Source organism: Homo sapiens, chromosome 6, assembly GCF_000001405.40.
Source record: "Homo sapiens chromosome 6, GRCh38.p14 Primary Assembly".
Classification (NCBI taxonomy): domain Eukaryota; kingdom Metazoa; phylum Chordata; class Mammalia; order Primates; family Hominidae; genus Homo; species Homo sapiens.
The window spans coordinates 42,076,932-42,103,910 of NC_000006.12; the positions used below are offsets into that span (position 1 = coordinate 42,076,932).

General features: G+C 49.6%; 2 protein-coding genes across 11 annotated transcripts in view, besides 2 other annotated features; one reads left to right on the forward strand and one right to left on the reverse strand.

Moving 5' to 3' along the window:
- Positions 1–10,531, forward strand: part of TAF8 (TATA-box binding protein associated factor 8) — a 36,939-nt gene extending 26,408 nt beyond the window's left edge. For 4 of the 9 annotated variants that reach the window (XM_047418177.1, NM_001438580.1, NM_001410907.1 and 1 more), the window contains 2 exons: positions 169–308; positions 9,788–10,531. In XM_047418177.1, the coding sequence (XP_047274133.1) occupies positions 169–283 (115 nt within the window). In that variant the 3' untranslated portion in view covers positions 284–308; positions 9,788–10,531. Of the gene's footprint in view, positions 1–168; positions 309–601; positions 6,342–9,787 lie in introns of those variants that run through there. The other 5 variants (NM_138572.3, NM_001438057.1, NM_001410906.1 and 2 more) reach the window with 3 other exon arrangements.
- Positions 9,160–9,454: a silencer, noted in NCBI's record as "tiled region #7068; K562 Repressive non-DNase unmatched - State 25:Art". NCBI's record gives its function as "represses a minimal TATA promoter and a strong SV40 promoter by Sharpr-MPRA in K562 cells {active_cell/tissue: K562}" and the evidence as "EXISTENCE:reporter gene assay evidence [ECO:0000049][PMID:27701403]".
- Positions 23,284–23,505: a silencer, noted in NCBI's record as "fragment chr6:42067953-42068174 (GRCh37/hg19 assembly coordinates)". NCBI's record gives its function as "represses an EF-1alpha promoter that drives an FKBP-Casp9 reporter gene in an ReSE screen in K562 erythroleukemia cells {active_cell/tissue: K562}" and the evidence as "EXISTENCE:reporter gene assay evidence [ECO:0000049][PMID:32094911]".
- The window catches only part of C6orf132 (chromosome 6 open reading frame 132), a 41,502-nt gene continuing 38,710 nt past the window's right edge, over positions 24,188–26,979 (reverse strand). For both annotated transcript variants that reach the window (NM_001164446.3, XM_047419258.1), the window contains one exon: positions 24,188–26,947. In NM_001164446.3, coding sequence (NP_001157918.1) covers positions 26,830–26,947 — 118 coding nt within the window. In that variant the 3' untranslated portion in view covers positions 24,188–26,829. The remainder of the gene's footprint in view (positions 26,948–26,979) is intronic.

Sequence of the window (26,979 nt, forward strand, 5' to 3'; positions counted from 1 at the left end):
CCCTGCCTGGTCCTCGCTTCATCGGGGCAGAGATAGGAATGTTGGAAAGAAGGTGCTTCCCAGGTTCTAATTTCTCAATTAGAGGATGCTAATGGTCATTCCAATTATAGGCATGATCTCTTTCCTTATGCTGTTGATGTTGTGCTTTATTTTGGCTTTTGCTCAAAGGAGGATTCTGGAGCCGAGAAGGAGAACACCTCTGTCCTGCAGCAGAACCCCTCCTTGTCGGGTAGCCGGAATGGGGAGGAGAACATCATCGATAACCCTTATCTGCGGCCGGTGAAGAAGCCCAAGATCCGCAGGAAGAAGTGAGTTGGAGGCTGGGGTCCAGAGAGCCTTCACTGTCCCACCGAGGTGGTCTTCTCTGCTTCTTGGAAGAGTCTCCTCAGTGGGGCGGAGCCTTGGGGAAAGCCACTCTGGTGAGAGGGAATAGTCTCCCTTTTCCTGTCCTTACTTGGCTCCCGTACATAGCTCTTGTTCCTTAGTGGTTGAGTGTCCTGCAGTCTAGGGACCAACCCTCACAGCACTGGAGCAGTTTTCCCCTAGAAGGAGAGCAGACAGGGCCCACACCAGGAGGCTCCATGGTTCCTCTTCTTTCTAGGTCCCTCTCCTGAGCTGAGAAGGAAACCTGGCTTGTACAGGGGCGCAGATTCCACCCTCCCGGGGAGTTAAAGCCACTCAAGGGAAGAAGAGGGTGACCTCCTCATGGCCAAGCCGAGGCTGCAGGGTGTGATCGGACATGATTTTCATGGCAAACCGTCTTATTAAGATGACCTATTTTCACTGGATGTTTGGGTTGAGGAAGATATGAACAGAATAATGAGAATTTTTTTTTTTATTTTGAGATGGAGTCTTACTCTATCACCCAGGCTGGAATGCAGTGGTGTGATCTCAGCTCACTGCAGTCTCAGCAACCCTGGGTCCAAGTGATTCTCCTGCCTTGGCCTCCCGAGTAGCTGGGACTAGAGGCAAGCGCCACCATGCTGGCTAATTTTTGTATTTTGAGTAGAGATAGGGTTTCGCCATGTTGGCCAGGCTGGTCTTGAACTCCTGACCTCAAGTGATCCACCCGCATTGGCCTCCCAAAGAGTTGCGATTACAGGTGTGAGCCACCACGCCCAGCTAATTTTTGTATTTTTAATAGAGATAAGGTTTCGCCATGTTGGCCAGGCTGGTCTTGAACTCCTGACCTCAAGTGATAACCCGCCTCGGCCTCCCAAAGTGCTGAGATTACAGGCGTGAGCCACCGCACCCCACCAGAGACTTTCTTAATCAATCAGGCTATGTGGTGGGGCATAGCAGCAGCCAGTGACTTCGTTCATTATCACAGGATTTGATTCCTTTGAAACTCAAGAGACCAGGGAAAGTGACAGGAAGGAAAGGGCTCTTTGCTGCTGTGCTTATTACAAGGAAGACTGTTTGTCCAGCGTGTATTTCAGGATATCTGGATCCCTTTTATTGACTCACAATTTGTGGCACCACTTTCTCATCCCAGAACTTCATTCTTATTTCTCTCCTCATCTGGCCTCCCAAGTGCTCCGTTGAGCTGATGAAAAGTTCTTTGTACTCCCTCAACGTGTCGGAAACAGGAGGCCACACAGCACAGCTTTGTTTGGGGTGGGCAGGAGTCAGGAGTCTTGAGCAGATGCATCACTGTGAAGAAGAACGACATGTCGGGGCTGCACCTGTCCTCCCGTCGGCATTTGACGAAAGCTCCCTGAAGCGGGGCAGCACTCTCCTCCTGAGAGATTTACCATTTATTGCCCCTGTGAGGAATGTGTGCTTGGGAACTGCCAAGTCTTACCCCTTCTGGAAGAAGAGGTTTTCTCTGACAAGAGCCTAGAGCGTCGGCTCTATTATGCTGGGACTTGACAGAGGAGCCATGGGGTTTAAACAGTAGGAAAGAGGGGCTACGCGCAGTGGCTCACGCCTGTAATCCCAGCACTTCGGGAGGCGAAGGCAGGTGGATCACTTGAGGTCAGGAGTTCGAGACCAGCCTGGCCAACATAGTGAAACCCCGTCTCTACTAAAAATACAAAAATTAGCCGGGTGTGGTTACTCATGCCTGTAATCCCAGCTACTCGGGAGGCTGAGGCAGGAGAATCACTTGAACCTGGGAGGCGGAGGTTGCAGTGAGCCGAGATCGTGCCACTGCACTCCAGCCTGGGTGACAGAGCGAGACTCCATTTCAAAAAAATAAAAAAAGGATAAAGTAAACAATAGGAAAGGATTTGGTGGGGTGAGGGTGGGGTGTTGAGGGCTGGGCCTCATCTTGTATTCTGAAAGCTGAGAAACGGCTGGTCAGCTGGAAGGCTGGTGGATGGGCAGGAGTGAGCCAAGCTGAGGCGTTCTGCAAGAAGCAGGTCTGAGTCTGTCCAACCAATTTGTATCCTGTGGGGAGAACAACTTCATTCTTAACATACCCTACAAACCAGAAAACAAGTTTTTAAGGAAGATGCTGGGCATGCTGATAGCTTTTCTGGTCTCCTAAGGAAGAGTTTTTAAAACTAAATCCAAGGAAGAAAAATGTAACAACACGTGGAAGTGAACACTGGATGAATAAGCTTGTTTCCCAAATTAGAATCCTAACGTCCATATTTAGCTTCATGTATTCCCCTTTGGCTTCCACAGTTCAACTCCTTTTATTTTGAGACAGGGTCTCGCTGTGTCGCCCCAGCTGGAGTATAGTGGCACTACCTCGGCTCACTGCAACCTCCACTCCCCGGGTTCAAGCAATTCTCAGAGTAGCTGGGATTACAGATGCCCGCCACCACATCTGGCTAATTTTTTTTTTTTTTTTTTAGTAGACACGGGATTTTGCTATGTTGCCCAGGCTGGTCTTGAACTCCTGGCCTCAAGTGATCCACCCGCCTTGGCCTTCCAAAGTGTTGAGATTACAGGCGTGAGCCACGGTGCCCAGCCCATCTCTTAGTCTTCCATTCCCTTGGTGAATTTGGAAACTTGAAAAACTTGGGGACTTGACAGCAGGCTCCATGTTCTTCTGGCCTCACTGTACTGTGTAAGGAAAGAGCTGCTTGTCAGGAACGGAAGAGGGGACGCTAGTAAAAAAAAAAAAATTGGATTCCCCAACTGGACTAAATAGGAGTTTTTCAGGTTTGTAGTAACGTGAAACTCTCCTAGATCGAAGCAGTTAGACTGGCCTATGTGGCCTTCTCAGGGTTTGTGATTCAGTTCTTAGCGATTCTTGGCCTGATAAGTTTATGAACACAGCCCCACATTCAAGCCGTGGCCAATCCCAGCTGTTCTCACTGCTCTTGGGAGGTGTTGTCCCAGTCAGTGTTTCTGCAGCTTCCATTTGTTGTTGTTATCCAGTGTAAGCACCTGTTGAATGCAGATGTGCTGAGTTAGAGGTGGGATTTGGAAAAGGGCTGCTATTTCTGCTGTTGAGATTTCAGAGGCTATACTCTTTTTTTTTCTTTTCTTTTTTTTTTTTTTTTGAGACGGCATCTCACTCTTATCGCCCAGGCTGGAGTGCAATGGCGTGATCTCGGCTCACTGCAACCTCCACCTCCTGGGTTCAAGGGATTCTCCTGCCTCAGCCTCCTGAGTAGCTGGGATTACAGGCACCTACCACAATTCTCGGCTAATTTTTTTTGTATTTTTGGTAGAGACGGGGTTTCACCAGGTTGGCCAGGGTGGTCTCGAACACCTGACCTCAGATGATCCACCCACCTCGGCCTCCCAGTGTGGGTGGGATTACAGGCATGAGCCACCGCGCCTGGCCTCAGAGGCTATACTCTTATAATTTTGTTCTGAGGGGAGACAGGGAAAGGGTTAGACAACTTGAAACATTGACCCTGTATAAAAATGCAAAATTCTCAATGTGTATTTATAAATTTCTATTTTTTATAACTTTATGGGACTTCTTAGAGGCCAAAAGTAGTAAACATGCAGATTAAAAATGTTTATGAAAATCTCAATAAAAATTCATAATAAAAACTTTGTAAATAAATAGAACTGTAAGCTTTGAACTTAATTTGTGTTCAAAAGTTAACAGCAATGTGGACAAATAAGTCAGGCTTAGCCCTTGTGTTGGCCTAAGCACACCTGGGAACTTAGTAAAACTTTTATTTTGGAAATTTTCAAATACAAAATTAGAGAGCAAAATATATGAACCCCTGTATATGCCTCATCAAGCTTCCACACTTGTCAGTAGCTTGTTGATTCTGTTTCATCTGTTTCTCCCACTTTTTGTCCTTTATTTTCTTTCCTCCTGGAGTGTGTGTGTGTGTGTGTGTGCGTGTGTGTGCGTGTGAGACAGAGTTTCGCGCTGGAGTGCAATGGTGCAATCTTGGCCCACTGCAACTTCTGCCTCCCGGGTTCAAATGATTCTACTGCCTCAGCTTCCTGAGTAGCTGGGATTATAGGTATCTACCACCACCACCACGCCTGGCTAATTTTTTCTTTTTTTTTTGGAGACGGAGTCTCGCTCTGTCGCCCAGGCTGGATTGCAGTGGATTGTCAAGATTGCAGTGGTGCAATCTCAGCTCACCGCAAGCTCCGCCACCCAGGTTCACGCCATTCTCCTGCCTCAGCCTCCCAAGTAGCTGGGACTACAGGTGCCTGCTACCACGCCCAGCTAATTTTTTGTATTTTTCAGTAGAGATGGAGTTTCACTGCATTAGCCAGGATGGTCTCGATCTCCTGACCTCATGATCCGCCCGCCTCGGCCTCCCAAAGTGCTGGGATTACAGGCATGAGCCACCGCACCTGGCCTAATTTTTTTGTAGGTTTAGTAGAGATGGGGTTTCACCATGTTGGCCAGACTGGTCTCCAACTCCTGACCTCAGGTGATCACCTGCCTCAGCCTCCTAAAGTGCTGAGGTTACAGGCGTGAGCCCCCGCGCCTGGCTCTTCTGGAGTATTTTTAAATGCAAACTCCAGACCTGTGTCATTTAATCTAAATGTGTCTATACGTATCTCTGATTGATCTTTCTTTAAATTTTAATTTTGGAATAATTATAGATTCACAAGATGTTGCAAAAAATGTTGAGAGAGATCCTATGTACCCATCACCCACTTTCTCCCAGTGGTAGCATCTTGCATAACTGTGGTGCAATATCAAAACCCTTGCATTCAGTTTCAGTGTACAATGTAGATGGTATATTAGTACAATGCATAGAGCTTATTTAGTTTTCACCATGTGCACGTGTGTGTTATGTGTGTGTTGTTCCGTGCAGTTTCATCGTGTAGATTTGTGTAACCACCAGCACACAAATGGTGAAGACACAGAACCATTGCATCAGTACAGTTCTCCCTCATGCTGTCTCTTTGCAATCACATCCACCTCTCTGCTCTTCCACTTCTCTCCTGGCAGCCACTACTCTGTTCTCTATCTCTAATGTTATTGAAAGAATGTTATAAATTGAATCATAAAGTATGTGACTTTTTTCTTTTTGAGACAGAGTCTTGCTCTATCGCCTAGGCTGGATGGAGTGCAGTGGAGCGATCCCAGCTCACTGCAACTCCTCCACCTCCCGGGTTCAAGAGATTCTCCTGCCTCAGCCTCCCAAGTAGCTGGGATTACAGGCATGTGCCACCACACCCAGCTAACTTTTGTATTTTTAGTAGAGATGGGGTTTCACCATGTTGGCCAGGTTGGTCTCCAACTCCTGACCTCAAGTGATCCGCCCACCTCAGCCTCCCAAAGTGCTAGGATTATAGGTATGACCCACCGCACCTGGCCGAGTATGGGACTTTTTGACGTTGGCTTTTTCAGTTCTGCATAATTCTCTTGAGGTCCATCTAGGTGGTTGTGTGTATCAGTAGTTCCTTTCTTTTTATTGCTGAGTAGCATGGAGGCACCATAGTTTAACACAGTTTCTTTAACCATTCACGCATTGAGACAAAAAAAGTTCTTAATTCTGCGAACATCAACTTCCTGTGCCCAGGTGCAAGTGCGGGGGCAGCTGGCCCAGGGTAGAGCTTTACCATGGACCCTGGCGCTCCTGGAAAAAAATTCAAGGTATTTTTCCTCCTCTTGGAGCGTGTGGCCTACCTCATCTCCATTTGATTACTAGCTTTTCTTTTTCTCCTTTGTTAAACAGTTATTTAATTTTGAAGAGATAATATATGTATACAGTATAAAATTTAAAAGACAGAAAAAGATATAAGTGATAACAAAATATCTTCCTCCTCCCCTGTTTCCCAGAGGCTCAGACCTCATCCCTGGCAGCTGCTATTATGTTACTGTCAATATGACCTTATGTATTCTTCCAGAAGTATTCTGTGCATCAAATGCAAATACTTATATTTTCTACTTCTCAGTGTATTTTTTGGTGATGTTCCATGTCAGTAATAAAGAGCTTCTCTGTTTCGTGGCTGCATGGTTGTTGTATAGTTCTACCATAACTTATTTCCCAGCCCCCAGCTGATGGGCATTTAGGTGGTTTCCAGCCCTCTGTTCTTTCAAGCATTGATGCAACAAGCAGCTTTCTGCCTGTGGCGTTTTGTTATGGGTGTCCATTGAATCTGGACAGATGTTGCCCAGCCCTCAGAATGTGTACCAGTTGGCTATCCTGCACGAGTGCCTGCCTCCTTGCCACCTCAGTGTAGAACTCCTTAAACTTTGCTACTCTGATAGATAGAACACTGTGTCTTATTGCGGTTTTATTTGAGTTGGAGTTGAATTTTTTTTCCCCCTGGATTCCTTCTATTTTAACAAACAAGTGTGTGTGTATCAGCTGGAACCAGGAACATAGTCACCGTTCTGTGTGATGATGCCCCACAGAGGGGCACCCGGGGACTCTGCCATCACAGAGGAGGGAACACAATCTCTTTCTGGGCTGGGACTTCAGGAAGAGTGTCCCAGGGCTGGTGACATTTAAGCTGGACTTTTACCAAGACAAGCAAAGGAAGGAAGGACATTCTAGGCAGAGTGAACAGAGGACATAGGATACAAGGGAGTGGCAAGGGCTGAGTGTGGCAGTGAAGGTTAAAGATGGACCTGCTGGGCACGGTGGCTCACGCCTGTAATCCCAGCACTTTGGGAGGCAGAGGCGGGCGGATCACGAGGTCAGGAGATTGAGACCATCCTGGCTAACACAGTGAAACCCCGTCTCTACTAAAAATACAAAAAATTAGCCGGGCATGGTGGCGGGTGCCTGTAGTCCCAGCTACTCGGGAGGCTGAGGCAGGAGAATGGCCTGAACCCGGGAGGCGGAGCTTGCACTGAGCCGAGATTGTGCCACTGCACTCCAGCCTGGGCGACAGAGCGAGACTCTGTCTCAAAAAAAAAAAAAAAAAAAAAGATGGACCCTAAGGGCCTCGTTAGCCTGGTAGACGAGTTTCCATTTTGATCCCATAGGGGTCAGAAGTGCAGAGGAGAAAACACGGTGTATTTGGAACAAATTCATTTGCTGAGCACCTCCTATATGCCAGGCACGGTGCTAAGCACTTCACATAAATTAACTGTTCATCCTCATGATATCCTAATGAGGTTGGGAAAATTATTATCCCCACTTACACATGTATCAACTTATTTATTTATTTATTTTTATTTTTTTGAGACGGAATCTCACCCTGTCCCCAGGCTGGAGTCTCGCTCAGTCACCAGGCTGGAGGGCAGTGGTGCGATCTCGGCTCACTGCAACCTCCGCCTCCTGGGTTCAAGCGATTCTCCTGCCTCAGCCTCCCGAGTAGCTGGGATTACAGGCACATGCCACCGCACCTGGCTGATTTTTGTATTTTTAATAGAGATGGGGTTTCACCATGTTGACCAGGCTGGTCTTGAACTCCTGACCTCAGGTGATCCACCTGCCTCAGCCTCCCAAAGTGCTGGGATTACAGGCATGAGCTACTGCACCTGGCCTCATTTATTAATAGTAGTATTATTTTTGCTGTTTAAAAGAAGAGGAAACAGAGACTTAGAGGCTAAGTACATTGTGGGAGGTCACCAAGCCACTACATGGCATGACCCTGCCCTGCTCTCTCCTAACCATGTGGCTACCCATCGCATCTGGAGAGCAGCAGAATGGACTCCTTTCTTGGATGAGTTGGGGCGTATTGCCTCTCTCCAGACTAAAGGAGATGGAGACTTCCATAAGAGCAAAAGCTGTTCTGAGATTCCACGTCCCCTTGAAATATGCAACCAGTGATACCAGTTTCTGAAGCATCCTCTAGAGGCAGTCTGTGCATATCCAGCAAATACGGACACATTTTTCCCTTTTTTTATACATGAATGGTAGCATACTGCATAAGCTCTTCTGCACTTGCTTCTTTCCCCACTTACTATCTCTTGGAGGTCACTCCTGATATGTAAAGAACTTCCTCATTTGTTTTCATGGCTGTAGAGTGTTCCATTGTATGTCTTATCCTAACTTATGACCGGTTTTCTATTTAGAGAAATTGAGACTATTTCCAGCAAACAATGCTGCGCTGACATGATGCTCGTTCGTTGGGGTATCTGCAGGCCAACTTCCTAGAAGCAGAATTCCCAGCCTGTGTTGGTAGCTGCTATGGTCTGAATGTTTGTGTCCCCTCAACATTTATGTTAAAATCCCCGAGGTGATAATGTTAGGAGGTGGGGCCTTTGAGGAGGTAATTAAGTCATGAGAGTAGAGCCTTTGTGAATGGGATTGGTGCCTCTAGGCCAGGCGCGGTGGCTTATGCCTGCAATCCCAGTGCTTTGGGAGGCTGAGGCAGGAGGATCACTTGAGCTTAGGAGTTTGAGATCAGCCTGAGCAACATGGCAAGACCCCTATCTCCATAAAAATTAAAAATCAATTAATTAGTTTAAAAGCCCCCAGGGAGGCCAGGCACGGTGGCTCACGCCTGTAATCCCAGCACTTTGGGAGGCTGAGGTGGGTGGATCACTTGAGGTCAGGAGTTCAAGACCAGCCTGGCCAACATGGTGAAACCCCTTCTCTACTAAAAATACAAAAATTAGCCGGGCATGGTGGCGGATGCCTGTAATCCCAGCTACTCGGGAGGCTGAGGCAGGAGAATTGCTCGAACCTGGGAGGCGGAGGTTGCAGTGAGCCAAGATCGCACCATGGCCCTCCAGCCTGGTAACAGAGCGAGACTCCATCACAAAAAGAAAAGAGAGAGCTGCCTCTCCCCTTCCACCATGTGAGGACACAGTGAGGAGACACTATCTGAGAGCCAGACGCCGAATCAGCCTTGATCTTGGGCTTCCCAGCGTCCAGCACTGTGAGAAATACATTTCTGTTGTTCATAAGCCACCCAGTTTCTAGTACTTTGTTGGAGCAGCCTGAGCAGACTAGGACAGCAGCTATTGCCAAATGCTCTCCATAGAGGCCATGCCAATGTCACCTTCCTCCGGAAAAACAGCCCATTTCCCTACACCCTAGCCAACGCCATGTGTTTTACACTTTTGCCAATCTGATAAGTGAAAAGTGCTTTTTTGGAATAGCCTTCGCTTGAATTTCTGTTATTATGATTGAGGTGAGCTTTTCCATATTGTGATTTTGAAATACGGTGTCCTCATCGGTAAGTGTGGCTGAGGAGAGAGCCAAGAAGTTCTGAACAGAATGTGGCTTTCTCTCCTGTGCCGGGAGCACCGTGGCCACCACGTGTTTTCAGTTCAGGGATTGTCCTCCAGGGGTGCACATGTGTGAGGTGAGCAACTCCTTCAGGAACTCTGAGTTCTCCTGGGGAGAAACAAACCTTTTAAATCATCACAAGCAGCTCCCCTGATCTGCGGCACCCCCTCTCCAATGCCAGAAGCTGCCCCCTCTTCCACCACCCTCTCCTGACAATCCAAATAGAATGAGCAAAGCGGTTTTTTTCACCCTACGTTCCTCAGGCCAGATACATTCTAGAGAATTGTGAGACTTTGCCCTAAGCTGCCAAGTGCTCCCCAAGGAGATCGGTCACCAGGAGAGCAGCCACAAAGGTCAAGAAAGACACACACGGAAGCAAACCCAGGCTCTGTGCTCCTTCCAGCCCTTGCTGGTGCAGATGCTACCCCACAAGCTTGTCAGATCGCCCAGGTGACGGGCCAGGCGCAGCCATCGGGAAGGTCATTCAGCCAACCCAGAGGATGTAGACCCTGTCCTCAAGAAGTGCAGGGCGAGTTCTGCCGTGCCCTCTGAAATACTCTCCCTCCTCTCAGAGCCCTCCCTCGAGAGCCTGAGTGCACCATGTCTTGTGGCCTCGCCTGAAGCCTTCCTCTGGCTTCACAGAATGCTCTGGAACTCTGGGGTCTGGTCAGGGAGTGTGTCCTCAGCTTGTCTGGAGGAGGCCTGCATCCCTCCTGAGCTCTTGGAGGTGCCCAGGAACCCTGCTTCTCCTCACAGGGCCTGGCCATATAGCCAGCTCCAACCCAAAGCCCTGCACAGTGCCTCACCCACTCCCTTCTCCTGGTCTCTCCTCAAAAGAATTTTACATGATTTTAAAATAATAATAGCTTTCATTTACATAGTGCTTACATTTATATAGCACTTACTATGTGCGATGTACTAATTTAAGTACTTTATATTAACTCATATAATAAATGGACACAACACAAAACTCAAAAGGTACAAAAGAATAAAACAGTTAAAAACTATGCCTTCTTCCTTCTCATTCCATTTCTTCAGTCACCCCATTCCCCACTCCAGAAACAGCTACTATCACTGGTCTTATGTGCGCCTTCAAAGCCATTCCAGGAATATATAAGCACACAGATATCTATTCTTTCGTTATTACACAAGGGGTGGCTTATGAAATGCATGTTCCGTATCCTTGTTTAAGTTTTCCTGGTTTTCTTTTTCACTCCCCTGAAATTCTTACCCCCTTTCCCACCCCTAAACTCTGAGCACGGTGACAGGGAGGAAAGATGCCTGGCAGGTCTGTGGCCAGTCCCTACCTGACAGCTCAGTTAGCTGCAAGTGACCAAATTGCTCTGAGTCTCACCTTCCTCATCGATAAAGCAGGCTCGTAATGCCTCAAAGGTGTCATGGAGAGATGTGGTATTAGAGATGACAAGTGTGGGCTGGGCGCAGTGGCTCAAGCCTGTAATCCCAGCACTTTGGGAGGCAGAGGCAGGTGGATCACAAGGTCAAGAGATAGAGATCACCCTGGCCAACATGGTGAAACCCCGTCTCTACTAAAAATACAAAAATTAGCTGGGCGTGGTGGCTTGTGCCTGTAGTCCCAGTTACTCAGGAGGCTGAGGCAGGAGAATCGCTTGAACTCAGGAGGCAGAAGTTGCAGTGAACCAAGATCGCGCCACTGCATTCCAATCTGGCGACAGAGCAAGACTCCATCTCAAAAAAAAAAAAAAAAGAAGAAGAAGAGATGACCAGCGTGATCCTTGTGGAAGAATTAATTGACATTCTTCCCAGGCAAGCTTCCTCCCTCCCCAGAGATGTCGTCACCTGATGGGTGGGCAGGGGCTGGGCTATGGACCAAGCACACCCTCCTGAGAGTGCAAGTGACATGCAGGAATGGGAAGTGTTGCACTGTGGTTCATAGGTGCCTCAGCGGGGAGGGAGAGAAGGTGACCTAGGAGGGCTGCATTCTTGGCCTGTGATTCAGATGTTGGCACTGATGAGTTGGTAGCTCTGCCCTCTTTTGGAAGATTGGATGGGCACCCTCCCCACCTCCAGGAAAGCCCTGCCCCAGAAATAGCCTGGGCCCTCCAGCCCCCTTCACTGCAGAGCTTTCTACGGCACAGAAGAGATCCAAGCCTGAGCAGGCCCCAGCTCTGGGTCCTCCCAGGAGCACCAACCCCCTGAGGCCTCCTTGCCTCAGCCCATGCCCTGCCAGGGCATCCACCAGCCACCCAATGCAATTGCCAGCTGTCCAGCCCCAGTCCCACTCTCACCACCATCTTCTTTCTTTTTCTTTTCTTTTTTTCTTTTTTTGAGACGGAGTTTTGCTCTTGCTGCCCAGGCTGGAGTGCAGTGGCACGATCTCGGCTCACTGCAACCTCTGCCTCCTTGGTTGAAGCGATTCTCCTGCCTCAGCTGCCCGAGTAGCTGGGATTATAGGCATGTGCCACCATGAACAGCTAATTTTGTATTTTTAGTAGAGACAGGGTTTCTCCATGTTTGTCAGGCTGGTCTCGAACTCCCGACCTCAGGTGATCTGCCCGCCTCGGCCTCCCAAAGTACTGGGATTACAGGCGTGAGCCACCGTGCCCGGACACCATCTTCTTTCTTCTTCCATCTGATTGTGTTCAGAAGTGTAAGGCCCATGGTTACATTCAGCCTGGTGGGAACTAAGCTTAAAAACCCAAACACAGCCAGGCACGGTGGCTCACGCCTGTAATCCCAGCATTTTGGAAGGCCGAGGTGCACGGATCACCTGAAGTCAGGAGTTCAAGACCAGCCTGGCCAACATGGTGAAACCCCATCTCTACTAAAAATACAAAAGTTAGCCAGAGGTGGTGGCGGGTGCCTGTAATCCCGTCTGCTCGGGAGGCTGAGGCAGGAGAACCACCTGAACCCAGGAGGCAGAAGTTGCAGTGAGCTGAGATGGCACCACTGCATTCCAGCCTGGGAGACAGAGTGAGACTCCGTCTCAACAAACAAACGAACAAAACCCCAAACCTTTTAGGAAACTCAGGCCAAACTACAATGGAGGGACCTGCCCAAGGTCACTGAGCTACTGTAATAGGTGCCAGAGCTGGGACTAGAACTCAAGACTCCGGCGAGGCCCTACCCAGATCCAGCCAATTCACTTGCCCAAAGGAAAGGATGTTTCCAGTCCCTCCTGGCCAACTCCCAACCGTGGGTGAAGGTCCCTGAGGCGTGGGTGGACAGGGAGCCCTGGGACTCCACATCAGTAGCATTTTACATGGAACACATTATTGGTGGGGTTATTTTTACTGGAAAATTTTGAGGAGAAGTTTTATAATTGAATACATGTAAATATATTAGGAAATATAGTGTAGAATGCCCATGAAAAGTAAAGTCTCAAGGACATTTTGCTTTTTTAGTGGCAGCTTCAGGCTTCTCTCCTAAAGCTCGAGGGGGTGGGAGGGCATGTCTATTTGCTCCTTTTTTTGTTTGTTTTGGCAATCTGGGAGGAAAAATATTAGAAGCACTGGTCTAATTAATGGTTCTGCCTTAAGCCGGGTGATAATGATCTGGTTCCTTTGTTACATATCTTTTTATTCCATAATGGATTAGAAACAGCTTATAACAAAAATAATAAATAACAACAATCTATGAAATTAAAAAGCAGGCCGGGCGCAGTGGCTTACGCCTGTAATCCCAGCACTTTGGGAGGCTGAGGCGGGCGGATCACGAAGTCAGGAGTTTGAGACCAGCCTGGCCAACATAGTGATACCCCGTCTCTACTAAAAATACAAAAAAATTAGCCAGGCATGGTGGCACGTGCCTGTAGTCCCAGCTACTCGGGAGGCTGAGGCAGTAGAATCGTGTGAACCCAGGAAGTGGAGGTTGCAGTGAGCCGAGATCGCGCCACTGCACTCCAGCTTGGGCAACAGAGTGAGACTTCATCTGGGGAAAAAAGAAAAAGAAAGAAATTAAAAAGCAGAACCAGTGGAAAATGGACTTTAGATAAGTCAATTTGGGCGTGAGGAGGAAGAGGGCCAGGAATAAACAAATAAATATACATAAGATGGCAATAAATGCTGAGGGAAAAAATTAAGCAGGGTAACGAGAATAGAGGGTGTGGAGGAGGAAGGGCATTGCCATTTATTTATTTATTTATTTAATTAGAGACAGGGTCTCGCTGTGTCACCCAGGCTGGAGTGCAGTGGCGTGATCTCAGCTCACTCAGTTGCCCTGGCTCAATCAGTCTTCCCACCTCAGCCCCCCAAGTAGCTGGGACTATAGGCGCACGCCACCATGCCCTGCTAATTTTTTTATTTTTAGTAGCGACGAGGTTTCACCATGTTGCCCAGGCTGGTCTCAAACTCCTGGTCTCAAGCTATTCACCCACCTCAGCCTCCCAAAGTGCTGGGATTACAGGCATGAGCCACCGTGCCCAGCCTGGGGTATGGCCCTTTAATGGAGTGATTACGGAAGTCCTCTCCTCTCCAAGAGGGTGACATTTGAATTGAGACCAATGGAAAAGAGCATTGGGTGACACAGGAATAGCCAGTGCAAAGGCCCTGAGGCAAGAGTGGGCTTAGCGTATTTAAGGAGTTCAGTGTGGCCAGCATGGAGTGGTAAGGGGCAGGAGTAAGAGAGCGTTGGAGCATGTGGGGTCTTGTGGGCATCCTAATGATAACAGTGTTTACCATGAAGGGGTGGGCCAAACAGAGGAGTGAGATCACCTGACTTAGGTTTAACAAGCTCATCCTGGACGCTGTGTTAAGAATTGACTTCCATCATAAATGTAGCAGCAGGAAGACCAGGCAGAAGGCAAAAAAATGATAGTGGCTTGGACTAACTGTGTGACAGTTGAGGAGGTAAGAGATAATCAGGGGCCAGGTGTGGTGGTTCACGCCTGTAATCCCAGCAGTTTGGGAGACCAAAGTGGGAGGATCGCTTGAGCCCAGGAGTTCAAGACCAGCCCGGGCAACATAGGGAGACCCCGTCTCTACAAAAAATTAACAATAAAAAAAATTAGCCAGGCATGGTGGTGTGTGCCTCTGGTACCAGCTACTTGGGAGGCTAAGGTAGGAGGATCACTTGTGCCCAGGAGGTCAAGGCTGCAGTGAGCTATGATTGCATCACGGAACTCCAGTGAGACCCTGTCTCAAAAAAACACAAAAAACAAAAAACAAAACAAAACAAAAAAAAGAAAAGAAAAAAAAGTCAGAAATGGTGGGTGTATCTTAAAGTTAAACTGACAAGATTTGCCAAGGGATTGGAAGTGGTGTGTGAAGAGTGGTCAGGGAAGAATGCGGCTCTGCGCCCTGAGGTGGAGAAGGCTCTGGGTGTGGGAGGCCAGGCGGGACTCAGGTGCTCGCTCAGCTGTGCACCTGTTAAGTGCGAGATGCCATTAGGCAGCCAAGTGGAAACACTGAGTTGGTAGCTGGCTCCATGAGTGGCATTCGGGGGAGGGCTGGAAGTCATCAGGGTGGGTGAGAGTTGAGGACGTCATGTCTGTTATCCCAGGCTTACCTCTCGATAGATCCAAGGAAAGAACCCATCTAGAATACTTGGAAGGATTGTTGGGCTGCAGTTCCCTGCCTTCCCGAACAGCTTGATCCCATCTGGTGGTTGTGTTCTCTTTGTTTTTGTCATATTGTTTTATTTTGTTTTGTTCTGCAGTGGGCCACTATTCCCTGCCCCCTCTTAGCTGCCCTAGACAAATGTACCATGTGGTAGGGAAGTAGTGAACTGACTGTTTAAGGTGGTATTCCTTGGTAAGGCCTGGGCATGCAGGGGCTCAGAACACTCACCTCTAGCCATGCTGTGTAGACATAGAATAAGATTTATTAGAGAAACTTGTGGGCAGAAAAACAGCAAAGTGACTGGGTTCTCTGAACCCTCCTTATCTCATAGAGGTGGAATTGGCCAGACTGAGCTGGAAGCACCAAGATAAGCGCTTAGGGAGGAGGATCCCCCACAACCCCCTGCCCATTCTAGGTTATTTAATTTTTTTTCTTTTTTTTTTAGAGACAGTATCTCGCTCTGTCACCCAGGCTGGAGTGCAGTGGTGTGATCTCGGCTGACTGCAACCTCCACCTCCCGAGTTCAAACGATTCTCCTGCCTCAGCCTCCCCAGTAGCTGGGATTACAGGCGTGCACAACCACAGCTGGCTAATTTTTGTATTTTTAGTAGAGACAGGGTTTTGCCATGTTGGTGAGGCCGGTCTCCAATTCCTGGCCTCAAGTGATTCGCCTGCCTCAGCCTCCCACAGTGCTGGGATTACAGGTGTGAGCTACACAGGATTACAGATGTGCCCGGCCATCAGTGTACACGTTTACAGGGGAGTTGGGAGGAGGGTAGGAAATGCCTGGTCCACTACATTACCCTAGGAGCTTCCTGGTCGAGGAAAAGGGGTGCCTTCAGAGCTCAGCCACTGCTATTAACCAGAAGCTCTGTGTGATCTTCCCTTGAACTAACTTGGGATAATATTTGTCCTTCAAGGATCATGAAATCCTTGGAGGTTTGCCCTCCAAACCTTCTCTCCACTCCCATGCTCAAGTATCTCTCACCACCTTCACCAAAGTCCACTCCCAAGCAGTCATCACACTGGGACTCCTTCAGGGTAAAACCAGCCAGGACACCAGGCTTCCAGCTAGAGCACAGGGTTTCTCAACCTCAGTACTACCGACATTTAGCTAGATTTGTTGTGGGAGGCTGCCCTGTACATTGTAGGACATTTAGTAGCACCCTTGGCCTCTACCTGCTGAATGCCCTTACTATCCCCCTAGGATGTCAATGAAAAAATATCTCCAGATCTTCCAGATATCACCAAATATCCTCTGGGAAGCAAAATTGGCCCTGGATAAGAACCATTAAAGTCAACTAAGACACCAGGGGGCTGCATATTCAGAAACTAAAGTGAGACTGGTAGAAAACTGGGGCAACAGAGATTTTTTTTTTTTTTTGAGACGGAGTCTTGTTCTGTCCCCTAGGCTGGAGTGCAGTGTCGCGATCTCGACTCACTGCAACCTCTGTGTCCTGGGTTCAAGCGATTCTCCTGCCTCAGCCTCCTGAGTAGCTGGGATTACAGGCACCCACCACCACACGCGGCTAATTTTTTCTTTTGTATTTTTAGTAGAAATGGGGCTAGTTTCTACTCCTGACTTCAAATGATCCACCCGCCTCAACTTCCCAAAGTGCTGGGATTATAGGCATGAGCCACCGTGCCCGGCTGAGATTTATTCCCCCCTCAAATCAGAATACATCTTCACTGTTTCTTCTGTCTAATTTCCTCAAGCTAGACTATAGGAATTAAGACAGTGTTGTAACATTTCAGAGCCCCGGAGCCCAACTCCCTGCATGACAACCCTGGCTCTCTGGCTTGCTAGCTCTGTGACCTTGGACAAGTTACATAGCCTTTGATAATAAAAGTGCCTGCCTCTTGGGGTTGTTGGGAGGATAGTATGAAATAATATGCGTAAAGTGCCTAGGATCGTGCCTGGTACCTAATAAGCTGTTGCAGGACAGGCTCCCCAGGAGACTGAGGTTTGTGTGCAGCAAGTTTGCTGGGAGTGCCCTCAAGAAGCACACTGGCATGGGAGAGGGAGAAGTGAGCACAGGGAAAAGCTGGGCTGCCTGCACTTGCAATGGAGGGGCGCCCTGGTCTGCAAGGACCTTCAGAGTTGTCCCGCATTGAGGGGAGGGACTTAGTGAATGTGAGCTGCCTCTAGGGTGTGGGCGTGACCTTGGGTGAGGTGGCTCTCCCGGGAAGGACAGTTCCTGGGGAGGGACTGCCAGCTGCTGGCTGGGGGTGTGAAAGCTTCAGTCCTGGAAAGGGAGAGGGTCAGGGAGACAGTGTAGCACCCATTGTGAGTGCTTGCTGACCAGTATCATGAGGCTTGATTGAAACAGAAGCAAGCCTGAGCAACACAGCGACACCCCATCTTTTTTTTTTTTTTTTTTTTTTTTGAGATGGAGTCTCACTCTGTCGCCAGGCTGGAGTGCAGTGGCGCAATCTCGGCTTACTGAAACCTCCGCCTCCTGGGTTCAAGTGATTCTCCTGCCTCAGCCTCCCGAATAGCTGAGACTACAGGTGCGCGTGACCACGCCCAGCTAATTTTTGTATTTTCAGTAGAGATGGGGTTTCACCATGTTGGCCAGGCTGGTCTCGATCTTTTGACCTCGTAATCTGCCCACCTCAACCTCTCAAAGTGCTGGGATTACAGGCGTGAGCCACCGTGCCCGGCCTACACCCCATCTTTAAAAAAAAAAATGTTTTTAATTAGTGAGGCATGGTGGTGTGCACCTGTAGTCCCAGCTACTCAGGAGGCTGAGTGGGAGGATCACTTGAGTCCAGGAGTTCAAGGATTCAGTGAGCCATGGTCATGCCACTGCACAGCAGCCTGGGCAACACAGTAAGACCCGGTCTCTAAGATAGGTAGATAGATAGATAGATAGATAGATAGATAGATAGATAGATAGAAGCAAAAGTATCTTATTTTTATTTTTAAATATTTTTTGAGATGAGGTCTCACTATGTTGCCTAGGCCAGTCTCAAACTCCTGGGCTCAAGCAAGCCTCTCAAGTAGCTGGGGCTACAGGCATGCACCACTGTGCCTTGCTGAAAGTGTCTTTAAAACATTATGGCCACCCAAGGAATGACTGTTAGCCTAACAGTGACTCTATGACCACCTCCCAGTACTGCTTACCCCAAGCCTGCCCTCTCTACTTACTGCCCTCTCTGGAACAAAAATTTGGAGAGATGCTGTCACACCCACCCCAGCCACATTGCCCTGGGGGCAAAAGGCAGTGCAGCAGGTGCAGTTTGGCTCCCTAGCACCCTCCAGCTGTGTGGCCTTGGCAAGGTCACTTGGCCTGTGGAGGCTGTAGTTTCTTCTTTGGTAAGCTGGGAGTGGCACTATCTGCCCTAAGGGAGATGAGGTGATGACACATGACACTGCACAGCAGGGGTTCTCAAAGTGCCATCCCTGTACCATCAGGACTTGCAGCCTCATCTGGAAACTTGTTAGAAATGTGAATTCCCAGCCAGGTGTGGTGGCTCACGCTGTAACCCCAGCACTTTGGGAGGCCGAGGTGGGTGGATCACCTGAGGTCAGGAGTTCGAGACCATCCTCACCAACATGATGAAACCCCATTTCTATTAAAAATACAAAAATTAGCCAGGCATGTTGGTGGGTGCCTGTAATCCCAGCTACTCGGGAGGCTGAGGCAGGAGAATTGCTTGAACCCAGGAGACAGAGGTTGCAGTGAACCGAGATCGCACCACTGCACTCCAGCCTGGGAGACAGAGTGAGACTCCATCTCAAAAAACAACAAAAAAAGAAAGACATGTGAATTCCCCAGCCCCATCCCAAACCCACTGAATCAGGAGCTTTGGAACAAGTCCCACACACCTGTGTTTTGACAAGTGCTTCTGATGCACTTCTGAGTTTTGAGAATGACTGGTGTGCCAGACAGCACCTAGCTTTGTGCCTGGATCCTAGGAGAAGCCATGTCAACCTCAGATGGATCTCAGTCTGAACCTGAACCCCACCAGTCACACAAACTTCAGGCACTTGTGAGCAAAGTGCCACCTGTTGGCTAATGCCCACTCCACATGCACACACGGGGATGCCAGGCTAAGACTGCGGTGCTGGACACCAGGGTAAATTACACAGGTGCCTTCTGGCACTCCCCTCTCCTCTCCCTGGAGAATCCAGTTAAAGTGAATGTCAAGGGCAGCTTTAAATGGCCAAGAGAGGTCACCGAAAGACCACAACTCACTCTGTAGGAAAAATAAGCACACAAAGGGCATCCCTCATTCCTCTGCCCAGCTCATGCACGTGCTCCCACAAGGGTCACAGGCCAGCAAGAGAGGACACCCACAAGGACAACCCAACAGTGCCCCATGTGGTCCCGTGCTCTCTTGGGCCACCGGGCTCTCCTGGGTGGAAGAGCTTTGCATTCTCCTGCTCCATAGTCCAGTTATTTGTGTGTACGTCTGTCTTCCACACTCAACTGTGAGCCTCTTGCGAGGTTCCTTGGCTTGTACTGAGTGGCGCCCCCTCGCAGTGTTGAATTGCATTGGTGGAATTCTGTGCTGCCCTTAGCTATTAGAACAAATGCTGGAAAGTTGTGAACCAAAAGGCAGGAAGATGACAGATGGGGTAGCCCAGAGAGAGACAGAGAAAGTAGGAGCCTACCAAACCCTCTTGAATGGCTCAGAAAATAAACTAAGGCAACAATGAAAAGCGGCAGGAGATGCTTCTCTGCAGTGAGGAAAGCTGAAAGGAGTCAGAAGGCTCAGTCTGTAGAAGACAAGACTGAAAATATTCCATTTTCAAGAATGAGAAGGGAGTATAAGTGCGGTGGCTCTTGCCCGTAATCCCAGCACTTTGGGAGGCTGAGGCAGAAGGATTGCTTGAGCCCAAGAGTTCAAGACCAGCCTGGGCAACCTAACGAGACCGTGTCTCTACAAAAAATAAAGACAAAAATTAGGAAGAGCACGGTGGCTCACGCCTGTAATCCCAGCACTTTGGGAGGCCGAGGCGGGTGGATCACAAGGTCAGGAGTTCAAGACCAGCCTGGCCAAGATGGTGAAATCCTGTTTCTACTAAAAATACAAAAATTAGCCAGGTGTGGTGGCGGGCGCCTGTAATCCTAGCTACTCAGGAGGCTGAGGCAGAGAATTGCTTGAACATGGGGGGTGGAGGTTGCAGTGAGCCGATCTCACACCACTGCACTCCAGCCTGGGCGACAAGGCAAGACTCCATCTCAAAAAAAAAAAAAAAATTAGCCAGGCCTGGTGGTGAATGCCTGTAGTCCCAGCTACCAGGAAGGCTGAGGTGGATCACTTGAGCTCTGGAGGCTGTGACCTATGATGGCACTATTGCACTCCAGCCTGGGCGACAGAGCAAGACCCTGCCTCAGGAAAAAAAAAAAAAAGAAAGAAAGAAAGAAAAGAAAATGAGAAGCCAGTGTCCCACTTCTGAGAGTAGCATTAGGGCTAATGATCCTATGCTGAGATGGAAGAGATTCAAAACAGCAAGTCTACTGGGTCCCCACTCTGTGCTTAGACCCCTGCTAGGCCCTCAAAACCTTGTGCAGGGAGCTCACTCCTTAATAAAAACCAAACCTAGAACTGTAAGGCTTTCCTCTTGAAGGTGGGCTCTGCAGGTGGGGAGGGCTGGTGAACAGGTCGGACCTGGCTGGCTTCTGCCACCCTGGCCCCCAGAGGTGCTTTCCTTCTCAATTCTCCCGCCCACATGTAATGGAAACTTTACCCTTGGTCCACAGCTGAGATAGGCTGTGGCACCAAGTAAGTTTGCTGAAGACCAAAGGAGCTCAAAAGGGAAAAAGCAACAGAGTGCAAGTCACTTGGATTGTTGGAGCTGGCCGCCCCTGTGGCTGGCTCACTGGTGGGGTGTAGAGGGCTGCCTGAGATCCTTTGAGGACCAGGACTCCCTCACCTGGTGCCATAACATCCTAGCTCATGTCTCTACTTAGAGGATGCAGTATCTCAGCCCACCAGGCAGGAGCCACTCCAAGGCATCTGGACACCTTTATGATGAGACCTTAGAGACTCATCCCTAAAACTAAACCTTCCCTCAGCCTGATAACCTCAGCATTAGATTAAGTTCCACACTGCAACTTCCACCTCCCAGATTCAAGCAATTCTCCTGCCTCAGCCTCCTGAGTAGCTGGGATTACAGGCGTGTACCACCACGCCTGGCTAATTTTTTTGTATTTTTAGTAGAGACAGGGTTTCACCATGTTGGTCAGGCTGGTCTTGAACTCCTGACCTCGTGATCCATCCCTCTCGACCTTCCCAAAGTGCTGGGATTACAGGTGTCAGCCACCGCGCCCAGCCAAGGAACTTACACAGTGCTTGATGATATTTGATTAAGTACTAACTTGTATTCATCAATAAACTCAATATAGTGAGCACCTGCTGGTGCCAGGAGCAGCACCAGATGCTGGGGATACTGTGATGAGTGAGGCGTCCTTACGTTGTGGAGCTTACAAGTTGCTGGGAGAGAGATGTAGACCAAGTAACACTAGGTGCGGGGAGGGAGAGCAGCAGGGACCGTGGGAAGCTTTGCAGGAGCTGCTGTGGCCTAGCAGGTGAGGGATGTCTGAGCTGAAGCCTGAGGATAAAGAAGAGCCTGCCACAGAAGTGGGAGAGGTAGGTATGGAGGAGGAAGAGGTCTCCGAGCAGAGCAGGGCTGGGGAAGGCTTCCTGTAGGAGCTCCGATCCAAGCTGGACCTTGAGTGTGAGCTGGCCTAGGGGAAGCCAAGGGGGCCCAAGCAGTGAGGCGGGGATGAGTATTTGGGGGTAGTTTGGAGCCATTGGTCCGGCTACTCTGGCCACACAATTGTGTGAGAAGGAAGTAGGGGAGAATCATTCCTTTTGGAGAGGCTGGATTTGAGTGGATGGCCAGGCAACCACATGGACATGTCCAGGAGGCACTTCCAAAGTTAGAAATATGGACCCCTGGTACAGGTGAGCATGAGGGGCGACACTGTCTTCTGAGGAAGAAACTACAGAAGGAGGACTGGAGAGCCGACGACAGGGTGGACAGGGAGACAGTTGGGGGGAGGAAAGGAGCCAGTGTGCAAGATAGAGGATCGGAGCACCTTGTTCTGCACAGGCTCAGAGAACGATTCTCAAGGGGAAGGAGGGAGGAGTGGCTCATCTGTGCCAAATGTGAATGAAGTTTCCAGAGGTGCGGGAATTGGGCAGAGGAGCACAGGATTATCCATACAACGGGGAGCATTCATAATAAATTGCCTGGGTCTCTTCCTCTCTCCCAGAAGAGCACCTTTTCTCACATTGCTGGCAAAAAGCATCCCAGAGGCCCCAACAGCAGGGCTCAGACTCTGGCCATCCCTGGGGCTTCGGAGGGAGGGGGCCCAGGCTCTCTGATGGGTGCCAGTGTCCACCCTTCCCATACAGCTGACTGATGATGGGGCATGAGCATGGCCTTTGAGCTGCTGAAAGGGAAGTGGCCACAGTCTGCCTGGGTAGGCAGGTGGGGGCAGGCCTGCCTGACAGCTCAGCAGCGAGGTGGCCTCTGCCTCACCCCTCCAGGTTCCGGAGTCACCTCTGTCCTACAGCTTTGCACAGAAGGGCTCACCGGGAGTGAGGGGAAGCCTCTCTCCTTGAACAAGCCTGGCCGTGACAAAAGCTGAGCTTGACCTTTTTCACGACAGGCCCCTTTATATATTGCTGGCGCCAGGCCCCAGGCTTCCAGCTCAGCTTTTCCCGGGACCTGTCCTAGCTGTTGCTTTCGGCCAGGCTGGGCTTCACAAGAGAGGTGGGGTGGAGTTCTGGCCCAGGGAACAGTGAAACGGCTTCAGAAACCAAGGTGTGGCTAATCTGATCCAGGAACATCTGCCCCGCCCATGCCCATTAACCTTTTTTGGCACCAGGGTAGCTTTAGCCTACTCAGCCTCTTCTCCACCACTCTAATAGAGGTAAAGTTTGGGGAGTACAACCGGGAGAGGATAAGTGGGTGGGGAGAGTGGTTACAGCTATAAGGGAGGCAGCTGTGATGATTCACGCAGAAAGAACAGGGTTTCCAGTCAGAGGGGCCATTCTGAGCAACTCACGTCTCTTCCCGGGGCCTTCATTTCCTCAACAACAAAATGCAATTAGGAGTATTACACGGCTGGCACATTTTAGAGGACTGTCACAGGTAAACGAGAGAGAGAAGGAACTTTGCAAACTGTCAAGGTTAAATAAGTGTTGGTGGGTACCTTGACCACTGTCACTTAAGGAGTTTTCAACATGAAGCCTGTGGAGCCTGAATCTGGGGGATCTGTGGGGTGCCTGAAATAGTGTGTAAAATGCACTTGCGGCCTCTTGAGAAGCATGCATCAGTTTCTCAAAGAGGTCAGGGACCCAACAAAGTTTAATATCCAGACACGGCCCAAGTCCGTCCTCCTCACTTCTCCGATGAGTCAGCTGATACCCAAGGTCACACAGCTTGTCAGAGGCAGAGCCAGGATGTGGGGCCCTTGTTCTCTGCCCTCCCTCCTGGGTTAACCATTGCCCCTTCCATGTCAGATGAGGGAGAAAATGTTAGAAGGGAGCAAGTGTGGGGAGAAAAGCCAGACGAAGGGCCCAAGCCACTATCCCTGCTCGGGGTTTCCAGAATGAGGACATCATGGTAGAGGTGGGGGGACAGTGAGAGACAGGAGAATGAGGAGGCTCCAAGGATGGGAGAGGCCCTTCCTGGAAGCCCAGATTTCAGAGTAAGTGAGTCATCCTCCCTTTCCCATAAAGCCCCCACAAAAGACTCAGAGGAGGAAACACAACGCTTTCTCTAACACTGTCTTGAGATGACTTTTCTGGTTACTTTTTTGGAAAAAAAAAATTGGGGGCCGGGTGCGGTGGCTCACGCCCACCCAGCACTTTGGGAGGCCGAAGTGGGTGGATCATGAGGTCAGGAGTTCAAGAACAGCCTGGGCAACACAGTAAAACCCCATCGCTACTAAAAAATACAAAAATTAGCTGGGTGTGGTGGCGCATGCCTGTAGTCCCAGCTACTCAGGAGGCTGAGGCAGGGAATCGCTTGAACCTGGGAGGCAGAGGTTGCAGTGAGCCAAGATCATGCCACTCCACTCCAGCCTGGTGAAAGAGCAAGGTTCCGTCTAAAATAATAATAATAATAAAATAAAATATTCTAAAAGTATGACGTCAAGATGGCCTTAAAAAAAAAAGCTTTATGGAAAACTGTGACAGGCCATATACAAATGTGAGGTATTCATCACCCAAAGATGCCATTTGCTGAGCAACTACTAAGCGCTAGGCACGTGCTGGACGCTTTGCCTAAATCAGTATGTCACCACCACAAGAGGCCTTCCCTGACTACCCTGTTAAAGTAAATCCACTCCTCTCCCCACTCGCTAGTTATTCTCTCACGTTCCCTGTTTTTTCCTTCTTACTACTCCTTGTAATTTATGATGTTTTTGTGTGCTTTTTCAATCCTCTTCCACCAGACAGACTATTAGCTTGCCATGAACAGGAGTCATGTGGGTGAGCTGATGGCAGTCTATCCATACTAAGCACAGTGGCTTGTATCCAGTAGTTACCCAAATCCTTGTTAGACAAACACAGCCACGGAGCTGGAGGCCAGTCCAAACTGGCCTGTTTATCTTCCAAGTCAAGTGAGACTCAGCCTTCCCTGCCCACCCCAGAGCAATATACAGCTGAGAGTCTACGCCCCACCCCTCGAGCCTTAACATAGCAGATAAATTAATGATCTCTTTTATAAAACATTGTACAGGGAAAATACATACATAGAGAGCTAGTGCTGGGGCTGGGGTGGGATTTGCTTCTTGAACACAGATAACCAGACCCTACCCCATCAGGGTGGCTGGCCTTGGTAATCTGGGCATCCACCCACCCCTGCACTTTCTTCCCTAAAGTGGCTCACCTGCTGTCCTGACAACCAGCCTCGGCTGGTTACCACAAATAATAAAGGTCCAACATCTTCCCCCCAAAGGGAACTACTTTCTGGCTGGCCCCCACCAGCCTGCTCCTCTGAAATGGGCACTCTCCAGTCCTTCCTTCTTACTGAGGCAGCCCACCTTGACCTGGTCCCAGGAATTTGGCCCACCAGTACCTGAAGATAGGGAAGCAAGACCAAGGAATATTGTTTCCTGATATGTTTGGTGATCACAGCATCTAAACCAGGACTTTTTTGAAAAGTGGAAGGGGGTCTAATTCACTGGAAAACAAGCATAAACCTGGACTGCCCAGGCAAAGGACACGTGGTCACCCTACTGATAGGTCTCCCCTGCTCCTTTTTTTTTTTTTTTTTTTTTTTTTGAGACGAGTCTCGCTCTGTCGCCAGGCTGGAGTGCAATTGTGCAATCTCGGCTCACTGCAACCTCCACCTCCTGGGTTCGAGCGATTCTCCTGCCTCAGCGCCCCGAGTAGCTGGGACTACAGGCGCCCACCACCATGCCCAGGTCATTTTTTTATTTTTAGTAGAGACAGGGTTTCGCCATGTAGGCCAGGATGGTCTTAATCTCTTGACCTCATGATCCACCCGCCTCAGCCTCCCAAAGTGCTAGAATTACAGGTGTGAGCCACCATGCCCAGCCAGGTCTCCCCTGCTCTTAACTGGCCCAATCCTAGCACTCTTTTTTTTTTTTTTTCCGTATTTTTAGTAGAGATGGGGTTTCACCATTTGGGCAGGCTGGTCTCGAACTTCTGACCTCAAGTGATCCACCGGCCTCGGCCTCCCAAAGTGCTGGGATTACAGGTGTGAGCCACCGCGCCCAGCCAACCAATCCTACCACTCTTGACTTTCCCAAACACATTCCCCAACAGCAGCAAGCTTCTTCAGACCTCCATTCCCATCTCTGCTGCCTCCACTCTCCAAGGCTTTCTAGCATCTTAAGGCATCAAGAGTATTGGTGACTTGTAGTATCAGTGTTAGGAAAAATGCCTTCTCCAAATCCCATATGAGACCTGGCCATGTAAGGCCCCTAGTGTCAAGCCTAAGACTCATGGCTCCTTGGGCCCAGTCCCCAAAATCAGGGCTGCACAGGTCTGAATAGCAAAGCCAGGCTTAACCTTGTTTCCCATCCTAAACTTGCCAAGTGTCCTCTCTCTAGGCCTCCCTGTAGCTAAGGGCTAGGGCCAAGGAAAAATGAACCATCAATCTCCCACCTCTGCCCTTGGCCAATGCAAAGGGCTTCCATTCCACATGTGGGAGCTTCACTCCCCACCCCACACATGGTCCTTCTCCACATGTTATACATACACATTCCTGGTCCCACCTCAATGCGGCTAGGAACCCCAGGTGTCCACTCTTGCTTGGGATGGCAGGTGATGGAGGCTAAAGATCTCCCTTCGGTGCCCTGCACACCCACCAGACAGAGCTGGGCCTCAGCCCTTTGCAAGGGCCTGACAGGCAATCACAGCTATCTCGATGGGTTCCAGTTCAGTCAGTGCCCCACCCCTTGCTTTCAGAACCTGCTCAGTAGGCCGTGCTTGTAAAACTGTTTTAAATAACTCTTGCTAAAGCAGATAGTACCAGAGAGCAGAAACTCAGCGCCCAGGTCCTTAATGGTTCCTTCTCTCTACCCTCCTTCCCCTCCCACCCCCCACGTGTAAACAGTCCACAGTCACACCAGCGCTTTGGGAAACAGAAGCCCACTCTCGGTCTTCCTGGGCCACTGCTTCTCATCGTTGGTCTTTGGGGATCAAAGACTCCTCTGTGTCTGAGTCAGGTCGCCCAACACCTGCTGTGTACCTCCCACCCCCCACAAGAAACAAGTGCCCAGATCCTTAAAGACACAGTTTGTTGGAGTAGAGCTAAGAGAACCCCTGGCTCAGGAGGTGGCTTTCCGATGGGCCCCTGAGCAGACATAGGAGATGGGATGGCGGGTCCCAGGCCTCACGGTGAACGTGTTGATGGGGCTTCCATAGCGGGTGGTGGTGTAGGGAGACCTGGGGGAGAGCAAGAGATGTGAGGTGAATAT